Raw genomic sequence first — 27,953 nt, 5'->3', positions numbered from 1 at the left:
TCCCCTTGCTTTCTTGCTCATTATCTGCATCTCACATGTATGAAGAAATTACACACCTAGCCAGGAAAATTGTTTACTATAAAATAAATTTTAAAATGCCAAGATTCTTAAAAATTATACTTTTATAAAAATGTTTTATTAATTTTCTTCTTAAGGTTATAAGATATGCTATAGACTGTTTCTTAATTATTAGTCGTGGGTTTCCCAATCATTAAAATACTGGTTTCTAGAAACCCAAAGGCCACATAACAGGCTTTTGTAGCATATAGAAATTAATCCAGTTTTTAAATAGAGGGCTTTGAAAGAATTTTAAAATTCTGTTTCTGGAATCTTAACCAGAATCTCCATAACATTTTTTAGAACTGAACTGACGTGGAGTTTCGGTTAAATGCAAAAATTAAGAAATGTCAAGAAAGATATTTAAGTTAGGTAACAAAATATAAAAAAGGGAGCTTAAGTTAAAAGTAAAGTGAAAAATAAGAGACAGACAATATTCAGGACATGAATGAGAAACCAGAAATAAGATATAAAACATTTCAGGTAGTAGTTTAACTAAGTAGGTAGGTAACAAGAGAAGCTTAAACAAAACCAGGAACCTTTACACCAAGCTTGTCCAACCCATGGTCCATGGGCTGCATGAGGCCCTGGACAGCTTTGAATGTGGCTCAACAAATTCATAAACTTTCTTAAAACATTATGAAAATTTTTTGCCTGTTTTTCTTTTTTTTCTTTTTTCTTTTTTCTCTCTTTTTTTTTTTTTTTTAGCTCATCAGCTATCATTAGTGTTAGTGTATTTTATGTGTGATCCAAGATAATTTTTCTTCCAGCGTGGCCCAGGGAAGCCAAAAGATTGGACACTCCTGCTTTAGACAGGTATATACATCCACAAGCAGTTGTAAAATAGCAGATTTGTATCTACCTACATTTATATAACATTTTAAATATAACAATATAACAATACTAAATTTAACAATATTAAATTTAACAGTACTACAACATTTTAATATTTCTTTTAGGAAACTGTTTTATTAAAGTATGATATAGTAAAGTGCAGCTTAAGGAGCTTCTATATGTATACGCACGCTGATAACCACAAAATTAAGATATAAGACATTGCAAAATGTTCTCTCTTGCCCATCTCAGCGAATATCCTCCTCACCCATGGTAACCCTGATTCTCTCTTACCTATTACAGTCATTCTGCCATTTCTTGAACCTCATATATACAAAATTATACAGTATGTATTTTTGTGTACCCGTCTTCTTTTTCTTGTCTTTATATCTGTTATAAATATCACATCTTATTTATCCATGCTATTGAGTGTAACAGTAGTTCATTATTTATTTCTAAGTAGCGTGCTATTGTTTAGGTCCACCACAAATTACTTATATAAGCATGCTAATGGTAAGGGGCGGTGCAAACCTCTCATTCCCACTACACAGGTTATTCAAGCATGTCCTCCAGTCTCTTTTGCCACCTCTGATCTCCAAAGGACAAAAAACAGTGGTGAGACCAAAAGCAGAAGATTCCCAACTTTTATGCAGTAGAATATATTACCTCTTTTTTCTTCACATTTTTTCTTCACATTTCAATGACTTTTTTCTTCACATCCAATGATGAATAAATTAAACCAATGACCTCAGATATCAAAACCTACAGAGAACCACTCTTTTCCACCCTTAACGTAATAGCAGGATTCAACAACAGATATACATACATCACCTCTGACAGCTGTGGACAAAAGAATAGGAAGAGAGAAGGGACTCTCTGGTAATGGAGATATTTTAGCCATTCTTCAGGTGGCAGGACACATGCATTTGGGAACACGCAAGCAGGCAGTCACATATTGATGGATGTGACTTGAAAAGGATGTCTCTAAGGGTGTTATTTGATCTAAAAACATGTCCTTGGCTTTTCCAAACAGTTCAAGTGATTTCTCAGACTAAAACTATGTGAAGCATATTCTATGTAATTAGATCGTCACCGTTTATTTCCTATTATCTTAGTACCTCCAACTCTCTCTTTTGTTAAGGACCTGGATGACAGCCCTTTCACCTGATGTATGTTTTGCATCTCAGCAAATAAAATTATATACTATGCAAGACCAAGGTCGTTTTTGAAGTAATTTATGTTCTCTTTTCTACAGCAATTAAAGTTAATTTGATTATAGGCATGTTTTACAAAACGTGAAAACTTAGATAAAACGTATTCAAAATAAGTTTATTTTATTCTTTAAAACTTGTTTTTTTGTGTCCTTTTATAATTCTAAAATGGCAAGAAATTTTCTTCATGCAACATATTTATTTTTAATAAACGGACATTTTGAATGATGTGTCCCATTTTGCCTATTTGTTATTTATTGAATTATTCACTTTTATTTTGCTTGAACCACCCCTTAAAATTCAAACTACTCTCTTATTTGTAGCTCTAGAAAATCCTTGACATTTATGGATAAATTTATCATCAGTTTACACAAAAAAAAGTCAAACTGTATCTTATTAAAATTAATAAGGCATCTATGAATTATATATTATCACGCTTGAAGTTTTATAAATATTGTTTCACTATCTGTGATATTAAATTTAATAGTTAAAATATTTGATTTGATCAATTTGTAAGTGCTTCTTTCTTCAACATCATTTTTTATTCTAGTCATGCATCATTCAACAAGGAAAATAAGTTTCTGTTGAGAAATTCATAAAACTTTGGTTTTTTTTATAAATAATCCAATATCCCTATAATTATGTAGGAATTATATGTTGCGTTTTTTTTTTTAACAGAAAATAACTTCATTCTGCAATTGAAAGAATCACAGCAAGCTCTCATTGTATCAAGGTGGGTAAATTTTTCTTTCTTCTTAAAATGCATGTTTCCATGTCATAGAGGAGAAGGTGTGTTGCTTTAAAAACTAATTTCTGTAGATATTCTATTTTAAAAGACAATAAACTTTAGAGTATTCTACAATACTCACTTTTAAGCATGTAGTTCTTATGGATTAATGTATTGTTTGCATTGATGATTTCCTTTTAATGATTATCTCAAGCTGTCAATATTCTGGAATACCCAAAATTTTGAAAAGTTGGTAACTGTATGCTAATTGATTATAGTGTGTAAGTATAGTTTTGTCCAAACTAATGTTAGTTTCGGTGTTGACAGCCAAATTGTATGTTGCTGAAAATGTATGCTGTAAGCTCTAATTTCATTTAGGTGTTATAGTCTTTTATGGTACGTCTTATAAAACATTGGGGAGATATCCATTGTATGACACACCAGTGCACCTGACTGATAAACCCCCAAAGAATGTGGATTAATGGGTTCATGAAACCTGAAGGGAGGCCTCTTATGAAGCAGTGCAGAACTGTCCACATTTTTGCCAACACCTTTGAAGATGAGAGAGAAGTAATGGTTATTACATTTATAAATGACTGGAAACCCGAAGGTTAATTAATGTGAGGTATAAGATGCAAGATTGGGAGGCCGAGGCGGGTGGATCACTTGAGGTCAGGAGTTCGAGACCAATCTGACCAACATGGCAAAACCCCGTCTCTACTAAAAATAGAAAAATTAAACCAGGCATGGTAATGGATGCCTGTAATCCCAGCTACTAGGGAGTCTGAGGTACGAGAATCCCTTGAAGGGAGCTGGAAGTTGCAGTGAGCTGAGATTGGGCCATTGCATTCCAGCCTGAGTGACAGAGAGAAACTCTGTCTCAAAAAATGAATAAATAAATAAATAAGAGATGCAGGAAAATGTTGATGACTATGATAGGCTCAGGCTAACATGATTGAATTTGACAGGTGCAAATATAAAATTTTATAAAGTTTTCCTCACTAAAAGCGATATAAAAGTATCAGTGGAAACCAGTTTGATAACAAGTATATGTGTATATGTATATGTAGGTGTCAATGTGTAGGATGGTGGAAGACTTAGTGATTTCATTTATAAATAAATTTAGTGTTAACTCAAAATATCAAATGATACAGGCACCTAGAAGCTAGATTTGCATTGATAGAAAAATGTCTTGACTAAAGTCTTCGCACTCCAGTATATACTAGCTCCTTTGTTCTCTCTCAGGTTGTACTGCAATATTATATATGAGTTTGGGGACCACATTTGAAGATCATCAGTGACAAACTGTTTAACCTTTCCAGAAGTAAACCTTAATCCTTGAGAAATCACAGATAGTCTCCCATTTGGTAGTATATAAGAAGCTATAGATATTTACCCAGTAAAAATGCTTAATTACATACACATAAATTTTCTATATAATGTCAGGCATTCCTTGAAAGTCATCGATCAATTTCCTACATGTTTATGGACTTCAGCTTAAGAACCTCTGATCTAAGTCCAAATGGCAAGGTGGTATGGATTATTGATTCCCTAATATATAAAAATTGGAGATGTTTAGTCTGGAGTAAAGAGCACTAAGAATATAGGAACAAAATAGATGCCGTAAAATATGTGAAGAATTTTCATGTTCAAGAGTTATTACATTTGTTCTATGTATCTCCAATGAGACAAACAAAAACACCATAGGGACATATTTTGTGTAAGTAGAAATAGGATGAATGGTAGGAATTTAATTCTGCATTCAATCGGTGCTTTCCAAATGGTATGCTAGACTGGGAGTGTGAATGTAAATATCAGATGAATAAAACAGGGTCTCTTCAGGATGTTTAGAGAGGAAAGTTCCAGCTCAAAAAGCAAACTTCCCTTAAGGAAGTTTTTGAGTTAAGGGAAGTTGTGTGTATATATATATATATATATATTTTTTTTTAATTAAAACATATATATTTATTATAAGGCACTAAATGCATAAACTTATATTTAGTTAGTATGGGGTGGGACATAGTCAATTTGATAATGTCCATCCACCAAAGAATGATTATTCTATTATTATGTGAAGTTAGTTTTCATATTAAAACAATTGAGCATAGAAATACTATTCTAGGTGAGAAGGTTTTTTTATGGTGAATAAATGCATTCTATCTGTTAATTGATCTTATATATCAGCATCATTTTTAGACTTTAATTAAGAGAATAAGTTTGAGCATTATTGTCTTTTTCTCAGCTCCCATCACTACTGTAACATGTAATAGACAAGATTGAAAAGGAAAAGGCATATATCTACAAATTCAGGTATACTCTCTTTGGAAATAAATCACCTTTCCAGCAAATGTCATTTTTATTTCATTTGTGAATAATAATTCCAACAAATATCAGGAAGATCAGCATCTCAAGATTATAGTTCTTCTGGATTATGCTGACATGCTCAAACATTTTACTTAAAGCAGAACTGTTCCGTCAAAGTGGCTGGGTCAGACAGGTTTTTCGGAGTAAACATCAGGCTCATGTAGAACCAGCCCTCATCTAAGAACATGTAAACCCTAGTATGACTCTTCGGGATTTGTTTTATCTGGAAACCTTCACTTTTTGACAGAGGTTTTAACAGGGTGAATCTTTAGTGAGGCAGAAATCTGGATTACTTTTTCTCAAGATGTTCCTTATCCCTATGCAAAGGAACACGGATTTTTTTTATTATACTTTAAGTTCTGAGGTACATGTGCAGAATGTGCAGATTAGTTACATAGGTATACACGTGCTGTGGTGGTTTGCTGCACTCGTCAACCCGTCATCTACATTAGGTATTTTTTTCCTGATGCTATCCCTTCCCTAGACCCCCACCCACTGACAGGCCCTGGTGTGTGACGTTCCCCTCCCTGTGTCCATGTGTTCTCATTGTTCAACTCTCACTTATGAGTGAGAACATGCAGTGTTTGGTTTTCTGTTCTTGTGTTAGTTTTCTGAGAATGATGGTTTCCAGCTTCATCCACATCCCTGCAAAGGACATGAACTCATCCTTTTTTATGGCTGCATAGTATTCCATGGTATACCTGTGCCACATTTTCTTTATCCGTTCTATCATTATTGGGCATGTGGGTTGGTTCCAAGTCTTTGCTATTGTGAACAGTGCCGCAATAAACATACGTATGCATCTGTCTTTATAGTAGAATGATTTATAATCCTTTGGGTATGTACCCAGTAATGGGATTGCTGGGTCAAATGGTATTTCTAGTTCTAGATCCTTGAGGAATCACCACACTGTCTTCCACAATGGTTGAACTAATTTACACTCCCACCAACAGTGTAAAAACTTTCCTATTTCTCCACATCCTCTCCAGCATCTGTTGTTTCCTGACTTTTTAATGATCACCATTCTAACTGGCATGAGATGGTATTTGTGGTTTTGATTTGCATTTCTCTAAAAAAGTCAGATGATTTTAATGTGCTTTCAGGATTGAGAAACACCATCATAAAGCAGTGGTTCTCAAAGTGTAGTATGGCCACATTTGTATCTCCTGGAAACTTATTGGAACTGCAGGTTCTCTGGTCCAACCTTGACCTTCTGGATCAAATACTCTGGGGGAAGAGCCCCCAGTAATTTTTAGTAATATTCAAGTTTGTGAACAATGTCATAATGTCATATAAAGAGCTGTAATTCTTCTACTGATGAATATGAATCAGACTTGTTCGTTAATCAGTCGCAACCAAGAGGATGTCTTGGAGACAAGAACCATATTCTATGTTTCTCCTGTATTCACCTGAAATGTAGATAAATGTGTGAAACATACATTAAGTTATCAATAAATATATGCTGATTAATTTGCTCCTTTGTATTTAAAGATTTTTATGCCTAAAATGACAGAATACTGATTGCTGTGGACTGAACATTTGTTTTCCCCCCTCCAAATTCATATGTTGATATTTTAATCCCAAATGTGATGGCATTTAGAAATAATATTTTTGGGAGGTATCTGGATTTGGATAAAATTGATATTCTAATATGGAGATGAAGAGACCAGATCTCTCTCTCTCTCCCCCATGTGAGGGTAGAGCAAGGGTGTAGCCTTCTGCAGATCTGGAAGTTGGCCTTCACCAGACACTGAGTCTGCCAGCACCTTGAATTTGAATTTCTCAGCCTCCGTAACCATGAGAAATGCATGTTTTGTGTTAAAGCCACTCAATCTATGGTATTTGTAGCAGTAGTCCAAGTTGATGAAGACACTGTTTATGTTCATCCTGTACAGAGCCCTTTGTCTCTTATGTGTCGTGTTTTATGCAGCATCAGAAGTGAATAGACACAGATAAAACCTTGCCATTCATTTATTCAACAACTATTCACTAAGTGTGCAACTATGTGCCAGGTATAATAGATCCTGCGAATACCTCAGTGAACAAAATAGACAAGAATTTTTGCTCTAGAAGAGATAACTCCCTGGTGGAAGAGGCAGAAAATAAGCAACATACATAAAAGCAAAATACATGTATTATATTTGAGAGTTGTATGTATTATAGAAAACAAAGAGTAGGCAGGGTAAAGAGAATCAGGATTAGGGAGGATGGGAAAGGAAGTGGATGGGCCACTTGCAACACTAAATAGTGTTGATAGTATAAGCCTCAGCGTGAAGGTGAGATTTCAGCAGCAGCTAGAAGGAGGTGAGGGAGTGAGCCAAGAAGGTGACTGCATCAAGAACAAAGAAAGGGAACAAAGAAAATAAAGCCTATAAAGTAGGAGCATGTCATTAGTATTTGAAAACCATCATGGTGGCCAGTGCGGCTGTTGGATGGTGAGCAAGTGGAGGTGAGCAGAGAGGAGGTCTGGGAGAAAGCAAAGATTGGAGCAGGGAGGGCCTTGTGGCCATGTGTTGGATTTTTGTCCCTTCCTAGGAGTGGAATGGGAAGCCATTGGAGTGACATGATCAGGCTTACTTTTTAAATGAATTACTGTATTTGCTGGGTGCAACTGGAGTGTGGCAAGGGTAGTAGCAGGGGATAAATCAGAAGACTAGAAGACTTGACAATAATATGGAGAGAAAAATGACTGCTCAGATTAGGATGGCAGCAGACCATCTGGTGTGAATATTCTAGAAATATTTCGAAAATGGAACCAATATAATTTGTTTATGAATCAGAAGAGCAAAAAAGAGGAATTATGTATCATTCTAAGGATTTTGGCTCAAGCAACTGGAAGAATGCCAGACAAACAAATGGTTGGAAATGCAAAAAAAAAAATTATAATAGTAAAACTGTATACATTCAGAGATTATCTTTCTTCTTAAGCCCCAAACTGTCCACTCCTGATGCCAAACGAAAGAACACCAGCCCCTAAGTCACACTGTGTTTGTCTTCATGCCAATTGATTGCTGAGTTTAAGGATCATGGTATCTGTGTCCTTTTAAACTGCTCACAGTACTTTCCCTGAAGGGTGCATACCCAGTAGATTTTTATTCATTTATATACTTAACAAACATTAACCCAGCATCCATCCCCAGGCAATGGGAAGGCACTGGTGATAAATCGCTAACAAGATAAACATGGTGCTGCTAATATGAACCTTATAGTAGACTAGATAATCTGATCACATAGAACCTTTTGTTTCAACTTGAAAATTATTTTATCTCTCTACCTTTCCTGCACTGCCTGAGTAATACCTTAAAAAGGGCAATCTCCCTAATTTGGCTGCTATGGCATGGCTGACCTTAGGAAAGAATACCTGTACAGGCAACAGAAACAAAAATAGACAAATAGAACTATATTAAAATGAAAGGCTTCTGCACAGCAAAAAAATAAAAATAAAAATAAACAATCAACAGAGTGAAGAGATAGTCTCTTGAATGGGAGAAAATATTTGCAAACTACTTATCTGACAGGGGAATAAAACCTATAATACACAAGGTACTCAAACAACCTAGCAGTGAAAAAAAAAGAAAAAGAGAAAAAAGAAAAATCCCATTAAAAAGTGGGCAAAGGACTGAACAGACATTGCTCAAAAGAAGACATACAAACAGGCAACAGGTTTAATACTTAACATCACAAGTCATCAGAGAAATGCAAATCAAAACCGTAATGAGATATCATCTTACCCAAGTTATAAAGGCCATTTTTAAAAAGGCAAAAAATAACAGATGCTGATGAGGATGTGGAGAAAAGGGACCCCTTATATACTGTTGGTGGGAATGTAAATTTGGTTACCCACTATGAAAAACAGTATGGAGATTTTTCAAAAAACTAAAAATAGAACTACCATATGATCTAACAATACCACTATTGAGTGTTTATCCAAATGAAAATAAATGAATATATCAAAGAGATACATATACTCCTATGTTTACTGCAGCACTATTCACAATAGCCAAGATATGGAATCAAGCTAAGTGCCCATCAACCGATAAATCGATAAAGAAAATGTTGTGTGTCTCTGTGTGTGTATATACACAATGGAATATTAGTCAACCATCAAAAATGATGAAATCGTGTCATTTGCAGTGACATGGATGCAACTGGAAGTCATTATTTTCAGTAAAATAAGCCAGGCATAGAAAGGCAAACATTGCATGTTGTTATTCATATGTGGGAGTTTAAAAAGTAGATCACATGGAGGTAGAGAATGGAATGATGGATACTGGAGGTTTAGAAGGGTATATGAACTAGGGATGGGGGCGATGAAGACAGACAGGTTGATGGGTACAAACATACAGTTAAATAAAAGGAATGCATCCTAAGGTTTGATAGCAGAGTGGAGTAATTATTATTAACAAAAAGGTATTGTGTTCTTCCAGATAGCTAGAAGAGGTGACCAGAAGTATACCCAATGCATAGAAATGATAGTCAGGTGATGGGTACCCTAAATATGCTGATTTGATCATTGTCCATTCTATGCATGTAACAAAATTTCACATGTACCCTATAAATATGTACAAATATAATGTATCCAAAAACTAAAAAGTAAAAAATATCTGTAGAATTAACCTAAGCATAGGCAATACTATGTTTCTTTATATGAGACAGCATAGAAAAAGGTAACAAACATTCTGTGAATCCATTAAGAAAAATGAGTAACACAAATGTGTCTAAAACAAGTCAGGCCAATGACTTCACTCTTTTTGAAAAAGTACTATGCATATGAAGAACGTAAATATGTCTTACATGGATACAGTAATATAGAGACTTTACAAAAAGATTTGACCTACAAGCCTTTTCATTTTACGTTTTTTCTTTTTCTTTTTAAAACTAATGTCTTAGCCCCAAAAAAGGAAGACCATAAGTTACATTTAGGATAATGCACTGATTTATTAAAAAGATCATTTGTGCTTTCAATAAGGCTTTTTAATGAGTCCATGGATATTAGCAAAATTATTTTCATGAAAAGCCAAAGGAGTTTGCTGACAGATCTAAATTTCCTAGGTGACGGAAAGTGTTACATGGTTTAAAAGGCCAATGCCAAAAGGCTATCATTAAGAATTTTTATTTTTTACAGCTACAAATCTACTTTTTCCACATTAAGTTTTAATTGTGATTTCACCTACCCAAAATGGGTCATGAAATAATTTGATGAATTAGATATACTTTTTCCATCATTTGATGAGATTTTTCTATTCTTTAGCTCAGAGGGCCCTTTTGATGCAGAAAGAGAAAATTAAATTATTACATTTTGAACCTTCTTTTAGGGAAAAGTTATATGCCTAAGGGCCATACCCATAGAGAAATTATGAGTTCTCAGAATATTTTCACAAGACATATTCCCACGTCTTCATTTCTTCCCCACCCTCAGCAATAACAAAAACAAAACAATAAATCTTGCGGAAAAACACTGTCAGAAGCACAATTTAGCCAGTTCAAGTAGAATATATTTATGGCACTACAGACTTCCTTAGAAAAATTATTTTACAGTATCAGTTTAACAGTCATGCTTCTGCTCCAGGAAGAACTACCCAAGAAGCTCACTAGCTTGGAGTGCCAGCCGGTGGGTCAAAACCCTTGGTGACATGCCAAACATGTGCAGAACATCATGATTTTCACCACGGGACGTCAGGGGAAATGTGTGGTTTTGTGTGAATGTGCTTCCAGTGAATATAGAAAATTCAGGAAATTCAAATGCATTTGATAGAGAAGATATGTAGCAGAAGCGAAAGATTTTCTAGGAGAGATTACTACATGAAAGCAGGCCTAGGGTAATCTTTGAAATGAAAGAAGGTAAAATTGGTTCTGACTATTTTGGGAGATACTGACATGGTCCATAGCAATAACTTACACATTATTCATAATGCATGTAATTTTCAACCGGAGTTTTTAAAGGATACAGGCCATTGCTTTTATAACATGATGCAGGTATGTATGCATGTTTGTGTCTACATATGTGTGTAGTATATACCAACTGGAACAGATGTACAAGAGTTAACTGATAGAAGGATCCTGAAACTTTTTAGATGGAGAGATAAAGTTGGGGCTATTGTGGAAAGAAGAACACAAGTCTAATTTGCATGGTTTATGTCCTTCTAAAGCTGAAAATCCTCTCTGATTCCCTAAACTCACTTTCAAAGGACTCTCTCTGCTTTGCTAAGGCACATTATGCTTATCCCCAAATTACGCTATCTTCAAAGTTATTACTTGAGAGAAGAACAGATGCCAAACACACACACACACAAACACATACACACAAATTAACTTCCAAATAACCCATTTTCCTTCACAGATGAAGTACATTTTTTTAAAAAAAAGTTGAATTTTTGAATGGCATTCAATGTTCTACTCACGTATTAAGAGTTCTGAATATCTTGCCAAGCACATAAACCAAATTGTATTGGAACTGTAACACTTTAATAAGAAGTCTCAGATATTACCTCCCTCCACCCCCACATGACAGGACTCTCATTTATTGGAACTGTTACCAATCTGCCAACTCTCTCTTTTTCTAAATGTTTATAAACCTTCATCTTCTCAGTGACTCTCTTCTTGCGTTTGCATTTTATTCCTTAAGAATCCATTCTCTGGATCTTCCAATTTTTTTTTCTTTTTTGCTACCCTTTTCTTTTGCCATCCCGTACCCCCCACCTAATGTCACTTAAGAATCATCTACCTCTTCGAGACATTGCCAGTTTTATCACTAGGACAAGGGCCTTAGATGAAAAGATCATTTTCTTAATTCAAATGCAGTGTTATTACGTTAGAGTTACAGCCAACTATAGTGAACTTCTTTTCATACTGACCATCTTTTTTATTGTGTCTGTCCCCTTTCTCACTCTCTCAAAAAAAAAAAGTTAGTGTTTATAAGAAGTGGTGACAGGTTTGGAGAAGATGAATTTCATAGTATTGTGAAAAAGAACAATAAGAAAAGAAACATTGCAGTCTTTGTTTTTACTGACTCTCCAGAGAATACCTGAAATAAAATGAGGTATGTTTAAAAAGCACACTATGTCAATGGTTCTGTCTCGTTAGTTCAGAAAAACATTTATAAAGCAGAAAAAGTAATTTTTTCTTCTTAAGGCAGTACTATCTTAAGGAGTACTGTTTCTTCGCAAGAAATCAGAAGTATGGGCTCCATGAAAGGTGTCCTGACTTTTCTAGCCAAAATGGATTTAAGAGAAAGCTGGAGGCCTCTCATCCTACCCACAAGTCCCTCGGTCTCCCTCCAGGGAAGCTGTGAAGGACTTCATTAAAATTCCTGAGGGTTCTTAGAGCACAATTTGAGACAAGCAGTATTAAGGCATGCTAAACTCTGAAAGGTAACGTTTATGATGTGGGAATATCTCCCTATGATATATTCTTATTTGGCAATTGCTTAAAATTATTACTTGAACATCTCTGGTTCAAAAGTAGAAATATCTAAAGAAAAACATGGCATTATAAACAGATTTGCCTATCAGATTGTATGTTAATATTTCAGAGAGGCTTAGAAACTAAGTAAAAACTATATCTCATTTCCACATTGAGCTATAGCCTATTTAAATAGCAATGGTAAAATGCAGTTGGTTTCCAAAAGTATCAGTTCAACTGTGGTTCTCCTAGGACAAATGTACAAGGACACCACATGCTAAGCAGCAGATCCTCTTGCGGAAAGAAGTTTTGCACCTGGTTTTATTTTGGCGCCACATACCACTGGTAATTTCCATCATTCTTATAAATGTCATCTTCCTGGAGATCACCAGAGAGAATGAATGATGGGTCTACTTCTATGATTCAAATAGCACTAATTAAGTTTTAGTCTTTTTGTAGACAAGCTTTGTCTTTAAGTCAAAATTTCCTTCATTTAAGTTAGCTTCTTTCACTCTGACAGGAAAAATGTGGTTTTCTTATTAGGGTTTCAAAAAATTTAACACATTTTCTTCCTATCATTTGCTTTTTTCTATGTTTGTTTTAAGACAGGGTATCACTCTGTCACCCAAGCTGGAGTACACAGACAAGATCACGGCTCACTGTAGCCTCTACTTCCTGGGCTCTATTGATCCTCCTGCCTCAATCTCCTGTGTAGCTGGAACTACATGGGTATAGCTGCGCACCACCAAACCCAGCTAATTTTTTTTTTTTTTTTAGAGACAGGGTCTTGTTATGTTGTCCAGGTTGATCTTAAACTCCTGGCCTCAAGTGAGCCTCCTACCTTGACCTCCCAAAATGCTGGAATTATAGGCATAAACCACCATGCCTTGCCTTTTTGTATTTTTCTGAAGATCTATAGTTCTGGGTGCTGGATGAATCTTTGAATGGTTGCATGTTGTTCTCAGTATAAAATCAAAGGCCTCTAACTTTATTTCAACTAAGTTTGGACAAAAATACCTATACCATAAACAGATTATCTATTGTATTTGTAGTGCGAATATTTGCCTCGACAGTTTGGTGCACACCTGAGCCCAATATACTAGACTACACTTGTCCCTTCCTTATGGAGGTTCTAAATCAAATGCCTTCTCACATTTTATAAGCCATTTGAGAATCATGTTCTTATTAAACATTCTCTGTCTATCATGCTCACTCTGTTTTCCAGCCCTATAATATTCAGACAGTAGCTCTCATATGATGCATACCGTTCAGGGAAAGAGAGTCATGTCCTCACTTAAATATGTCAAAAGTTGCTGTTGATCAAGATTTAACAACACGAGTTTTCTGTGTGTAGAAAACCAATTTGGTAACTACGTAGTAAATCTTGACTAAGAACATCAGTGGAAATTATAGTTAAAGAAATGAGTTATTTATTTTAGTTTGTGTAAGACTTAACAAATTATTAGTTTATCCACTTTTGGAAAAGGGAATGGGAATTCCAAAGAAATATAATCTTTCCTGTGAGATAGTATTAAAAGAGCTGTGAAAATGGATTATGTAGGCAATGCTCATTTCTCACCATTTTTATGAGAATTTTGTATTAGTTTTAATAATTGATAGTTACAAATTAGAGGTAAGGGCATCTAAAATGCCAGGGAGATATTGAATTAACTAACTTTTGCCTTTCTATGTTCTCCAGGGACAACATATTTCAATATGAAACTAAATTAAATGTGAGTTCAAGAGTGGTTTAGATGTGTCAGGAAGATACAATTCTACAGAAAAAGTTGCAAAAATTTAAAAATTTATTAAAAAGATTACAAAAATTACAATGGTTACCTGACGATCTTAAAAAGCATATGGGCTTATTGTTTCACATTTTGTAACATAATCTATTACAAAATAAATTATTCTTCGAGAAAAATTATCTTGAAATGGTAATATTCATATTATAAATTAATAATACAACTGAGTTTGAATAACCATTCAAAACGACTGCAGAATAGCTTTTCTTTAAGTCTCAAAAACTTCATCTGTAAGTGAATCTCACATTCTAGTGCTGCAAAAGTGGTGAAAGATTTTATTTAATTATAGCAGTCTTTCTTTGCCAATCCATGATGGCTTAGCCTAAAAAAGAACTCCTAGGACATGGGTGTAATATTGAATCTAAATAAAGTGTCAAAAAAGCCATACATTGTTATTTAAATAGTGCTGCGATATAACTCTCTTCACAGTGTTTCCTCTTAAGGCAGGAATCACATCTCATACTTCTTGGGTTTCTTTTTTTTCCCTGGAGGCTTATGTGCTCTAAAGACTTCAATATATTGACCAGTATGTGAAATATGAGAACCATATATTAATAAAATGCTTGAACTGAGCTAAAAATGGAAATCGAGTACTAGTAATCTCTAGCTATCTTCCCAGTGTTCTATCTCAACACGCTCCATTCAACCTGCAAGAGGAATGATACGGTTTGGATCTGTGTTGCTGCCCAAATCTCATGTCGAATTGTAATCCCCAATGTTGGAGGAGGGGTTTGGGGGAAGGTGATTGGATCATGGGGACGAATTTCCCCCTTGCTGTTCTTGTGATAGTGAGTGACTTCTCTTGAGATCCGGTTGTTTAGAAGCATGTAGCACCTCCCCCTTCTCTCTCTTCCTCTTGCTCTGGTCACGTAAGATGTGTCAGCTTCCCCTTCCTCCATGATTCAGTTTCCTGAGGCTTCCCAACCGTGCTTCCTGTACAGCCTGCGGAACTGAGAGCCAGTTAAAGCTTTTTTTTTTTTTTTTTTTTAGATGGAGTCTCGCTCTCTGGTCAGGCTGGAGTGGCGCAATCTCAGCTCACTGCAACCTCCGTCCCAGGGTTCAAGTGATTCTTCTGCCTCAGCCTCCTGAGTAGCTGGGACTACAGGCCTCCACTACCACGCCTGGCTAATTTTTTTTGTTTTTAGTAGAGATGGGGTTTCACCATGTTGGTCAGGATGGTCTCGATCTCTTGACCTTGTGATCCACCTGCCTTGGCCTCCCAAAGTGCTGGGATTACAGGCATGAGCCACTGCGCCCGGCCAAAGCTCTTTTCTTTATAAATTACCAAGTCTCAGGTATTTCTTTATAGAGTATGAGAACAGACTAATACAAGGCAACGTGAACTGATTACAGTTCTTGTTTCAAATATTTATGCATTTATTACTCATTTGGCCTGAAAAACAAACAACTTTCTATCTCATTTTCTCTTGCTAAATGTCGAGTTAGCTAGAGCATAATTTCTAGAACCTTGCCAGAACCCTTCAGTTTTTAATAAAAAATGAAAACTTAGAGCTTCCATAGCACATCTGCATAGCTAATGCATCGCATATTATTAAAACCATGTTTGCATAGCTCTCTTCCTTGATTTTAAGCTACTGTGAATTTCAGCTGTTTGACTATAAAGTACCTAATTGTATTTTTTTTCTTTCTTTCTTTTCTTTTCTTTTTTTTCTTTTTTTTTAAGACAAGGTCTTTCTCTGTTACCCTGGCTAGAGTTCATTGTGATAACCCAGCTTACTGAAGCCTCTACCTCCTAGACTCAAGCAATCCTCCCACCTCAGCCTTCTGAGTAGCTGGGACTACAGTTGCGTGTCACCACACCTGGCTAATTTAAAAACATTTTGCTGTTGTTGAGACAGGATCTCGCTATGTTGCCCAGGTTGGTCTCAAGCTCGTGGGATCAAATAATGCTCCCATCTTGGTTTCCCAAAGTGCTTAGATTATAAGTGTGAGCCACCTGGCCCCTAGTTGTATTTTTCTCCATATTTATACTTTCTGGGGCTCATTGAACATCAAGAACTTCTAAATTTATATCATTCACCTAATTGTGAATTGTTTCAGTCATTACTTCCTCAAATAGTTTTTCTGGTCCATTTACTATCTTCTCTTCTTCAGGGCCTCCATTTACACATATATTTGGCATTTACATATTGTCCAACAAGTCCTTAACATCCTATACATTAAAACAAATTTTCTGTTTTTTTAAGATTGGAAATTTATTTTTCATTTTGTAAACTATGTTTATCGAGTCTGTCATCTATATTCTTCTAGTAAACCATTCAGTGAATTTTAAATAACACATATTGTATGATTTTATTTCTAGATTTTTTTATGTAGCTATTGTTAATAGATTCTAGTTCTCTATTGACATTTCTGATCTTTTTATTTATGATGTGTATGTTAGCTCTTACCACCCTGAAAGGGTTTAGACTAACTATTTAAAATCTAAAGCCTTTTTTGATCATTCCAACATCTGGGTCATCTCATAGTTGGCCTTTGTTGATTGCATTTCACCCTGAAAATGCGTTACCTTCTCCTGTTTTATATATGTCAAATAATTTTTATTTTTGTATCCTGCATTTTGCTAATGTAGTACCATAGAGACTTTGAATTAGTTTATATTATTCCAAAGTGCTGCTTTTTTTTTTTTGGTATTAGCATGCAATTAATTTTACTGGACTCCACATGTGAAATCTTATTTTGAATTTTTTTTCTCCTTTAGAAAGGTTGTTTGCTACCTGTCCCACACATGTACAGTCAGACCTCACTCAGTCAGAGACTTAAGTAGAAATATGCCCATAATTAGAGCTCCCCTTGCTGGTTACTCAAGATTCACAGTACTTAAGATTCAAACTGAAGAATCAATTCTCAGATGACTTAATTGACACTTTGGCAACACAAAACTTAAGTCTCTTTTAATATATTGAGATTTACTAGATCAAAATCAATTTTTATCAAAGTTGTCAAATATATAATTGAATAAAGCAAAAGACTGCATTTCCATTTTGGAGAAAAAATTCATCCATTCTTCTTATTCCCATAACCTTCTTTCATCTTTCATTCATCTTTCAGTCTCAAAAGTTGAGTCTACCTCCTCTTTCAATGCTGTTACATGTACCACTTATATGTCCTTTGTCTCTGTCCCTTATCTCAACATTTTTCTCTCTCTGTTCTTTCCCTTTAATCCTTTGTTTTCAACTTAGCAGAGTGGGTTCATACATAAGTGATCTCTACTAGCTGTTACCGTTTTATCTCCACTGACTTTGTCCTTAGCCTCTAAAATCTGACTTTCCTCCCCAGTAATTTTCTACTCAAAAGACCTAATTATTAAAGCCAAAAATATGTTGAAAAACAATGCTTCAACCCTTCTACTATGCCTTCTGGTCACATTCTTCACAGCTATTTACAGTACATGAATCATCTTTTTTATCCTTCTTACTCGACCCAACTCTCTCTGCAGCTCTCTGCAATTCTCTCATTGGTGATAATAACCCATAACCAATTAAATCAGTCTTTAAAATGTCAGTAGTTATGTCTGAAATATTCTATGAAATTCCAGATTTAAAAGAGGGAAGTCTAGGAGTTGAAGGCTATAGTGAGCCATAATCATGCCACTGGTTTCCTGCATAGGTGACAAAGCAAGACCCTATCTCTAAAAAATAAAAAAGGAAATTAAAGAGGAAAGTCAGATTTTTCAAGGAAATAACTAAGAAGCAATTAAATTTAAATAGGAAAGAAGGCAAATAAAGAAAAACTTGCTAGTTAAATCCAGAACCCTGTGTCAGCTTCCATTGCCCCACATGGGCACAATAAACTTGCCTGTGGTTTACCAGTCAAGGTGATTTTTCTAGAGCTTCATGTTCTTGTAGCCCGTGTTAAGAAAACTTCTTTAAAAAAGTTTTTATGTGCAGCACCACAGACTTCTGACAATTGTAATACTCCTTTCCTATACCCACAGTAGAGGAAGCACGTGAGTTTTAGAAAGGAAAATGATGATTTACAAGTCTTGTAGCCAAAGTTGAAATACTCATCCACAAAGTTCATAGAAATGTGGACTGGGTCGAAGCTCAATAAAACATGAGATGGAGACTTCAACATTGACAACACTGAGAGTCTTTGTTGAGAGTTGCATAATAAATGAGCTCTTCCAGTAAATTTTAGAACACCTACCCAACTCTTTTTAATTTTTTTCTTTGAAATAGAATCTCACTCTGTCACTCAAGTTGGACTGTAGTGGCACAGTCACAGCTTACTGCAGCCTCAACCTCCCTGGCTCAAGCAATCCTCCTAGCTCAGCCTCTGGAGTAGCTGGGATCACAGGTGTGTGCCACCATGCCCGGCTAGTTTTTTGTATTTTTTTTTTTTTTTTTTTTCAGAGAGAGAGTTTTGTCGTATTGCCAAGGCTGGTCTCAAACTCAAAGACTCAAACTATCCTCCTGTCTCGACCTCCCAAAGTGCTGGGATTACAGGCATGAGCCATTGGCCCTAGCTGCTTTTAATATTTTTATAACTGAGAGAATTGCTCTGAGAAACCCAGTGCGTATCACTACTCGATGGACAGGCCTCACAGACTTCCTTCAAAAAAAGGTATCACCAACCTGTAGGACGTGAGTCAATTAGATAGATCAAGTAGTCATGTTTACTTCAAACTTTTCTTAGTGAAAACAAGTTGCTATCATCTTTAGTAGGTCAATCTTATTGTTTCGTTCAAGTCTTATGTGTCCGTACAAACTTTTATCTGCTTCTTGAATGAATATTTGAGAATATTTTTTCTCTCTTACTGTGGATTTTAAATCTGTTTAGTTGTGTTAATATGTGCTTCATATATTATGAAACTGCTTTATTGTAAGTATTCAAGTACAGATTTTAAAGTCCTCCCGTTGAGTATTCATGTTATTATCATATAATGAACCTCCTTTATACTGCCTCTTCCTTTTGCCTTAATACATTTTATTATATCAACTTCATTTTTGATTGATTTTTTTCTAGTATATCTCTTTGTAACCCCTTATTTTCAACTTGGTCATAATTAGTTTATTTCTAATTTTTGAAATATCTATGACTCTTTTTGATTTCTAAAAGCTGTTAGGTTTCGCAATAGTTAATTTTACGTGCCAGGTTGGATAGGCCATGGTACCAGTCTTTGGTCAGACACCAGCCTTGATATTGCTGTGCAGCTATTTTTGAAAAGTAATTGACACTCAAATTAGTAGACTTTGAGTACAACGGGTTACTTTCCATAATGTGTGTGGGCCTCATCCTATCAGTTGAAGGTTTTAAGAACAACAACAATAAAAAACTAGTCCCCCAAGGAAGCTTCCAGACTGTTTTCTCACTCAAACTGCAACATTGACTCTTCCCTGGGTCTCCAGCCTGCCAGGCTGCCCTGCAAATTTCAGACTTGCCAGGCCCCACAATTGTGCAAAACAATATCTTATAGTAAACTTTCTCTCTCTCAATAGAAAGATTGATACTTTTAGCAGAGAGATCTAGATATATATAGAAATAGGTATATTGATATAGATAGATGTAATATTTATATCTATGTACATCTATAGCTATGTACACATACACATGCATTCTGTAGCTCATACACACACACAGACTTATATATAGAGAGAATATATGTACACAAATGTACACATGCACAACCATTTTATTGATTCTCTTTTCTGGAGAACCCTGACTAATACAGATTCTTTTCTCAAACTTTTCTTGGTCTTAATTTTTTTTTTAAAGAAAGTATATATTTTACTTTTTTGTTTATTCATTTCCATCTCATTTATTTACTCAAACATATTTATTTCATAACCAGTATTTAATTATTTTATTATTACATTTTTAAGAGCCTAAATGTTGTTTGTGGGCTTTTGTTTGTTTTTTTGCTTGTATATTCTCTCTCATTGTGCACTATCAAGTCAGCTTCATCCCTAATATATTTTTGTACTTTAGATTGAGAGCATACCTTTTATGGAAAATCTACAGGATCTGGGTTGGGAGAAGTCTCTCTGAAGAGGACTTGAAATGGCCCAGGAACTACCATAATGAGAACACTTGACATTCTTTCCTTGAGTCTGGGTTTCCTGTGCCATAAATGTAGAATAACCTTAAACCTCAAAACAACATAAGACAAGCCTGATGTTATAATATTTAGCAAAACCCTTATTTTTCACCTAAGCTCAGGCCAAAACCACATGTTTGTTTTGTAATCTTTTACAAAAGGGTTGTATGTATTTTTTTTTCAATTTTACATATTCATTAAAGGTGGAGACTTTTAATGGTTCTGGTTTTTATTTAGGGATTTCAATTCTAAATGCCCACCTTAGGAAAGTTAGCATCACTGTGTAGTCAAAGTGATGCCTTCTTTTTTTTTTTTTTCTAAGTGATGCCTTTAATGTGCCCTCCTCCTATTTTCTGAGCTGTCCAGTGCCCTCAGGTCTGTGAGACATTCAAATTTCCTCTGCGGTTATTAGCTTGTTCTTGATTTACTATCTCTGGGGTTTATTTTATAAAAGTTTTTAAATTTTTGTCTATAATGAGAAGCACGTATAATTTATTCAGCATTTCTACTTTGTTTATATCAAGGTGTTCACAGAACATGTAGCCCGAAATGAATTTTTTTCTTAAACAAATTAAAATTAATGTACTTATCAGAAGAAAGAAAATTTTAGTCTTAATTGTTAACCTTAGTGTTATGAAAATGAAAATTAATTTTAGAGTTTGTACATTCCTTTTTATATATGTGATTACCTTAAACATAAAAACAAAATAACAGTTTCTTCTCTTCACTGCTGCATGACTTACACCCTCTCTCGATTCCATTAACAGAAGAGTTTCTTTTTTCTTTTGTAGTTATTAGTAAACAATGGAGAATATCTGTAAAATTTAAACTTCTCATTTATTGCTTCAGAGTTCAAAATTTTAGTGAACACTCTTACAATTATCTTAAAAACTATCATTTTACAAATCATTTAAGAAAAATATATGAAGAATGTTTTAAATGATCATAATATTAATATCTACATGGAGGAATGAGAGTACAGAACATGATTTTTAAATTATTCTGTTGTGTTAATTTCTTTGTTGTGACAGTATTTCTGCTAATTTTGTCTTTCATTTTTTTATTTTGTCTCTCAGAGGTGTCAAGTAAGCAAAATAATGGTGAAACTCACTATTTTATTCTCATGATGAACATTTCTCTGAAGTTTAAGAGTATGTTTTTGAGTATGTGTGTAAGCAGACTTTTAAAGTAGCCTAAAAAATGGATATTTCTTAAAAAAATTCTACTTTGTAAGTTTCTGTGTGACACTTCCAAGAACAAAACTAAAAGTGAAGGTTGGAAATATACTACTTTTACACTGAAGTGACTAATGCCTCAATTTACATCTCTGAAACTGGGGTTTAATAATACAGAGTTTAAGATTTTACAAAGAGAGCAACTAGCCCAATGGTAGACACTCAACATTTTCTAATAACCTTTATTTTTTCATTTTAATTTTATTTCCTTTAGAACCTCAGGACATTTGCTACATACACGGGTCTATTCTCCATGCTGCTTAAAGGACTATAGTTCAAACAGTTTACTATCAGTGTTCAAAGGAATCTGAAGTAAGACATTGCCATTAATTGTAGTGACTTAATGATACAGTAGATATTATTTAAAATTCTTGACTCTTTTAAATGAATCTGGACATCTCAGCAAGCAAATAATAATGCCTTCTGATTGAAAAACTAAAAGGGAAACAACATCTGGTTAAAAGTATGTTTCCATTCCCCCTATTCATTTTTTGTGTCCAATATTCCAGGAGGATAATTATTTGAATGTAAAAGTTTGTTGACCTGTAAGATTTTTCTATTAGAATGCAAATGACTCAAAAGACAAACATCTTAAGTCTTAATTATCTTAACTATATTAAGCCATTTGTTAACAAAAAGCTATAAAATACGTCTCTTGGGAGTGTGATGGAGAATGGCAGAGGCAATGCCCATGCTACTCACAGTTTTATAGTCGCACAGACACATCCATACATACAATGTACATGCTGGCTAGAAAACTGATGAAGTCCCATTATCATGTCTATGTGTGTGCATACACTATATAAGAACACATCTAATGAATGTTAATCATCTGTGATGAAGACGAAGAAAGCATTTTCAATGGATTCATGCACTTTTTAATGCAAATCTTTGGAAGGCAAATTAAACTATCACTGAGAATAATTTATCTGGAATATATATTAAAGCAAAATAAAGAACAGATTATTTGCACATATATTTGTTTTCTTCCAAGGTAAAGACAGAATATCTTCATAGGGGAACACAGTGGAAGCAGAAAGACCTCTAATCATCTTGAAACATCTTTGTCTCTTCTTAGAATGTGAAATTTTCCTTGATAAGTGAGCAGTGATGTGTGCTTTTTTTTTTTTTTTTTTGAGTTGCAGTATTGCTCTGTGGCCCATGCTGGAGTGCAGTGGCATGATCTCGGCTCTCTGCAACCTCCGGATCTAGGGATTCTCCTGCCTCAGCCTCCTGAGTAGCTGGGACTTACAGGCACGTGCCACTACACCGCTAATTTTTTGTATATTTAGTAGAGACGGGGTTTCGCTGTTTTGGCCAGGCAGCTGTCAAACTCCAGACCTCACGTGATCCATCTGCCTCAGCCTCCCAAAGTGCTGGGATTACAGGCGTGAGACCCTGTGCCCGGCCGATGTGTTCATTCTAATTCTGTTTATATACTTACCCTATTAACATCCACACTCTTTTGCTCAGAAACCACTACCTACTTCACTGGAGATGTGAATAAATGTGATGGTAATATCCATACTAACATGATTCTGGGATGACCTTTCTGCATCATTTATTTTGGATTTGATTATTCTGATCATGCTGGTGAATGAAGTAACTGAGAAGTGGGAATTGAATTAAGTTCAGATTTCCAAACATAAAATCTCCCCAAAGGCATTTAACGTTTCATATTCATATGGAGACGTTTGGGAGGATGAAATGTAATTAGTTTCAGCAAGATATTTAAGACTTCACTATCATTCATATTCTGTGCTCAATGGAATAAAGTAAGTGTAGATACCATTGCAATCTGTTTCAGTAAAATAGGTGAGAAGCCATGCTTTACCCTTAGCAGTAATAAGGAAACAAGTAAAACAATCCAACCAGCAAAGCAAAACAAAACAAAGAGTAATTTCAGTAGCCTTACTAGAAAGCTGTTTAACAAGGAAAAAAATGTTTTTCTTTATATTCCAGTGAGAACAAGAACAAATTTCTTACTTTGATAACAAAGTTACCGAAAATCTATAACTCTCTCTTTAGTACAAAGCAATATTTTTAAAACGTTGTCTATATAGGTATTAAAAGAAGAGTATAAAATTTTCCGACTGTTTTTCAGATTTCTTTTTAAAAATTTTAGCACAGAATCACACTAATAAAATGAGCAAATATGAAGAAGTTTAATATATTAAAAGACATTCATACACACATGCACATACAACTCACAAATTACCCAAAAAACAAAACAAATAAAAATTGCTCTGGTTAAAGGAGGAGATAGAAAATCACGAAGGCTGAATGTAGACCTCTTCCTGTTTACTCTCTTTCCATCTTCCTTTTTCTCTCTTTTAGTTTGTCCATTGCAAGCTCCCAAACAGACCCAGGAGCACTGTCTAAAAAGCACTGGCAGAGTAAAACGATTCGTGAATTTAGAAGTGTCTTTTTAAAATCTTTGCAAACGTACCACTTATCTCCAAAGCTAGGACAGTGTATTTGGAAAACAAAAGCACATACTCCTGAATGGCAGAACTAGTTAGAAGAGATAATCAGGGATAAATTAGGAGCAAGCAATAACTCATAACCAATTTATATTTATTCCTAATAAACATTACATATGTATGGGATGGTAAATTATTAATAGGTAATAACAATTGTTCAAACATAAAGAAGCCTACGAGACATGAAGAAAATGAGAAACATAAGTATAATTACATCAAGGCACATCATAATCAAATTGCTTCAAACCAGTGATAAAGAGAAAATCTTAAAATTGGACAGAATAAAAAAATCGCATTGAGGAGCAGCGATAAGAATGGCAACAGATCTTTCATTAGAAAAAAATGAGGCCAAAATGCAGTGGAGTCATATCATTAAAGTACTGGGAGAAAAGTAAACTATCATGTTAGAATTCAATAGGTAAAAATATGTTGCACGAGCAAAAGCAAAATAAGAGTTTCTTAGACATACAAAAGCTAAAGAATACATTGACGGAAGATGTACATTATGATAAAGGTTAAAAAAATTCAGCTGGGTGTGGGTGGCTCGCACCTGTGATGCCAGCACTTTGGGAGATTGAGGTGGGTGGATCACCTGAGGTCAGGAGTTTGAGACCAGCCTGGCCAACATGGCAAAACCCTGTCTCTACTAAAAATACAAAAATTAGCTGGGTGTGGTGCTGCGTGCCTGTAATCCCAGCTAGTCTGGATACTGAGGTAGGAGAATCGCTTGAACCTGGGAGGCAGAGGTTGAAGTGAGCCAAGATCGCGCCACTGCACTCCTACCTGGGAGAGAGAGCAAGACTCCATCTCAAAAAAAAACAAAAAAAACAAAAAACATTCTCCAGGCAGAAGCAAAATCATAACAGATGGAAATTGAGACTTACGTACAACAATAAAGAGCATCAGAAATGATAAATATATTTGTATATAAAAAGACTTTTTCTAATGTTTGATGTCTTTAATAGATAATTGACTTATTAAAACAAAAATGATATAAATGTACTGTTGTGTTTAAAACATGTAGAAATACAATGTATGACAACAATGGCACACAGGCTGGGACAGTCAGAAATGCAAGTATCCTATTGTAAGTTTCTTTTACATTAAGTGTGATAGCATTACTTGAAGGTGGACTGTAATAAGTTAAATACAATTATATGAACACCATATATTATATATAGTATTATATATAGTATATATAATAAAATGAAACAAAGTATTGTAGCTAATAATTCAACAAGTGACATAAAATTAGTAATGAAACTTCTCAATAAAGTAAAGGCAGAAAAGAGAGAAACATAAAACAAAGAATAGATGGGAAAAATATAAATTAAATGGACAAATGGAAGATTTAATTCTGACCATTTCAAGAACCGCAATTAAATACAAGTGATCTAAATATACCAATTAAAAGACAAAGATTGTAAGTTCTAATAAAGAAAAGCATGACCCAACTAAACACTGCCTACAACACACACAAACACACACACACACACACACACACACACACACACACAAGTTGAAAGTAAAAGGATGCAAAAAGAAATCCATGTTTTTATTAGTCAGAAGAAAGCTGGAGTGGCTAAATCAACATCAGATAAAATTGATTACAGGGCTAGAATATCATCAGGAATAAAAAAAGTTCACTTATGATAAATAAAATGAATTCTTCAAGAGGATGCAAAAAATTTAAAGAATTTATCTTTAGTAGACCAGCACTAAAACAATTTTCAAAAAGTCTTTAGAAAAATGAAACAGATATATACAATTTTGGATCTGCTATAGTTTGAATGTGTCCTTTTCAAAATTCATGTGTTGAAACTTAATCCCCACTGTGATGGTATTAAGAACTGGGGTCTTTAAAATGTGATTAGCCAGAATGGGTTTGTCTTATAAAAGTGCTTGAGTGTTAATCTCCTTTCCTCTTCCACCACATGAGAACACAGCACTCATTCCTGTTTTGCTCTCCCACCCTTCACTATGTGAGGATGAGACGATGAGATGGCATCATCATTGAAACAGGTCCTCACCAGAGACCACACCTGCTGGCACTTTGATCCTGGAATTCCCCTTCTCCAGAATTCTGAGAAAATAATGTTTCATTTTTTATAAATTATGCAGTCTGTGATATCCTTTTACAGTAGCACAGATGGAAGAAGACAGTATTTATCTACACTAATTGTAAATGTGTACGTATGTAAAAATGCTTAATTTTAAAATATCGTCAAAGTTAATTGACATTAAATACAAATTACAACCTGTGGTGGGGTTTAAAACATGTTTAAAAATAAAATGTAGGAAAATAATACCACAAATGCTAGTAAGCAGACATGGAAGTTTACTGTCATAAGATTTATACGATTAAGAAGTGATATCGTACTGTTTGGAGGGACACTATAATAAATTAAATGTATATACCAGAAACCTCAAATAAGCATCTATAAAAACCAGAGTTTTAGCTAATAAGTCAATAAAAGAGATAAAATGAAATTGTAAAAAATATTCAATCCAAAAGATGGAATGATAAGAAGAGAAAAGAACAAAGAACAGAAAGAATAAACAGAAAATAAGTAGAAATATGGTCGATTTAAACCAAATCATATATATTGTCACAAGTAAAGTGGTTTAACACTGAAGTTAACATATTTTAGGTTTTCTATACTCTTACTTTTGTCCACTTGAAATCTGCTACACAGTGTTGTGTGAATGCTTACTATTATTAAACAGTTTATACTATTTTTATATGTAATACTTTTTATTTGTAATATATTAAATTTTTAATATTTTACTATTTTAAAATATCATATGAGTAAACATATGTATAAATACTATACTTTCATTCACAGGTGTGACTTTTAGCACTGACATTTTTATTCTGAATTCTGCTTTATTTGTTCATTATTTCCGAGGTATTTTTAAAAAATTTTTTTTTGTTATTACAAATGGTGGTTTCACTTCTACTACATCTTGTAAATAATGATATATATTTATATTTTATATAAGTTATATAGTGTATACTATATATAAATTACCTGTTATAAAATATGTCACACATTTTATACATTATATAAATGACTACATATAGAACCACTGCTTATTTCTTTATGCTAATTATATATCCTCCTGACTTAGCTTTATCAATGATTTTCTAGGATTTTCTAGATTTATTATTACATCATCCGTGAATAGAGATATATTTACTTCCTGTTTTTCCTAATTCTTCTCCCTGTGATTGTTTTATCTCCATTAAAAAATAGTGAAGATGGTGAGGATCCTTCACTTGCTTAGGATTTTAGTGGAAATATGTCTCATGCTTTCATATTTAAAAAGTTTCTAGCTTTCATAATGAGGTATGCATATTTATCATATAATGATATATTAAGGAGTATTTATCAGTTCATATTTATTGAGTCCTTTACATCAGAAATGGGAACCAAATTTTGTCAAATGCCCTTTTGGATTCTGAGAGTATAATGTTATACATCATGTTTTCTGCTCTATTAATATGACATATTATATCAATTGATTTGTAATGTTAAACTTAGCCTTGCATTTCTGAAATAAATACCATTTGATTATGGTGCATCATTTTCTTAATGTGGTGTTGAACTCTTCTAATTCTTATCCTTTACTTTTATAACAATATTTATTAATGAATATTTATGGACTATATTAAATATTAATGAATAGCTATTAATGGACCTGGTGCTTTTCAAAGAGTAGTTTCTTGATATCTTTCTCTATTTCATCAATGGAAATTATCCAGTAAGTTTTT

At 34.3% G+C, this 27,953-nt stretch overlaps 1 long non-coding RNA gene across 4 annotated transcripts in view; it reads left to right on the top strand.

Moving 5' to 3' along the window:
• Nucleotides 1-2,776: 2,776 nt before the first annotated feature.
• The window catches only part of LOC105374497 (uncharacterized), a 291,527-nt gene continuing 266,350 nt past the window's right edge, over nucleotides 2,777-27,953 (top strand). For all 4 annotated transcript variants that reach the window (XR_001739421.3, XR_939995.2, XR_939994.2 and 1 more), the window contains exon 1: nucleotides 2,777-2,835. This is a non-coding gene — a long non-coding RNA (uncharacterized LOC105374497). The remainder of the gene's footprint in view (nucleotides 2,836-27,953) is intronic.

Source organism: Homo sapiens, chromosome 2 (genome assembly GCF_000001405.40).
Source record: "Homo sapiens chromosome 2, GRCh38.p14 Primary Assembly".
NCBI lineage: Eukaryota > Metazoa > Chordata > Mammalia > Primates > Hominidae > Homo > Homo sapiens.
The sequence above is the reverse complement of the archived record's forward strand: the minus strand, read 5'-3'. Positions and strand labels throughout refer to the sequence as shown.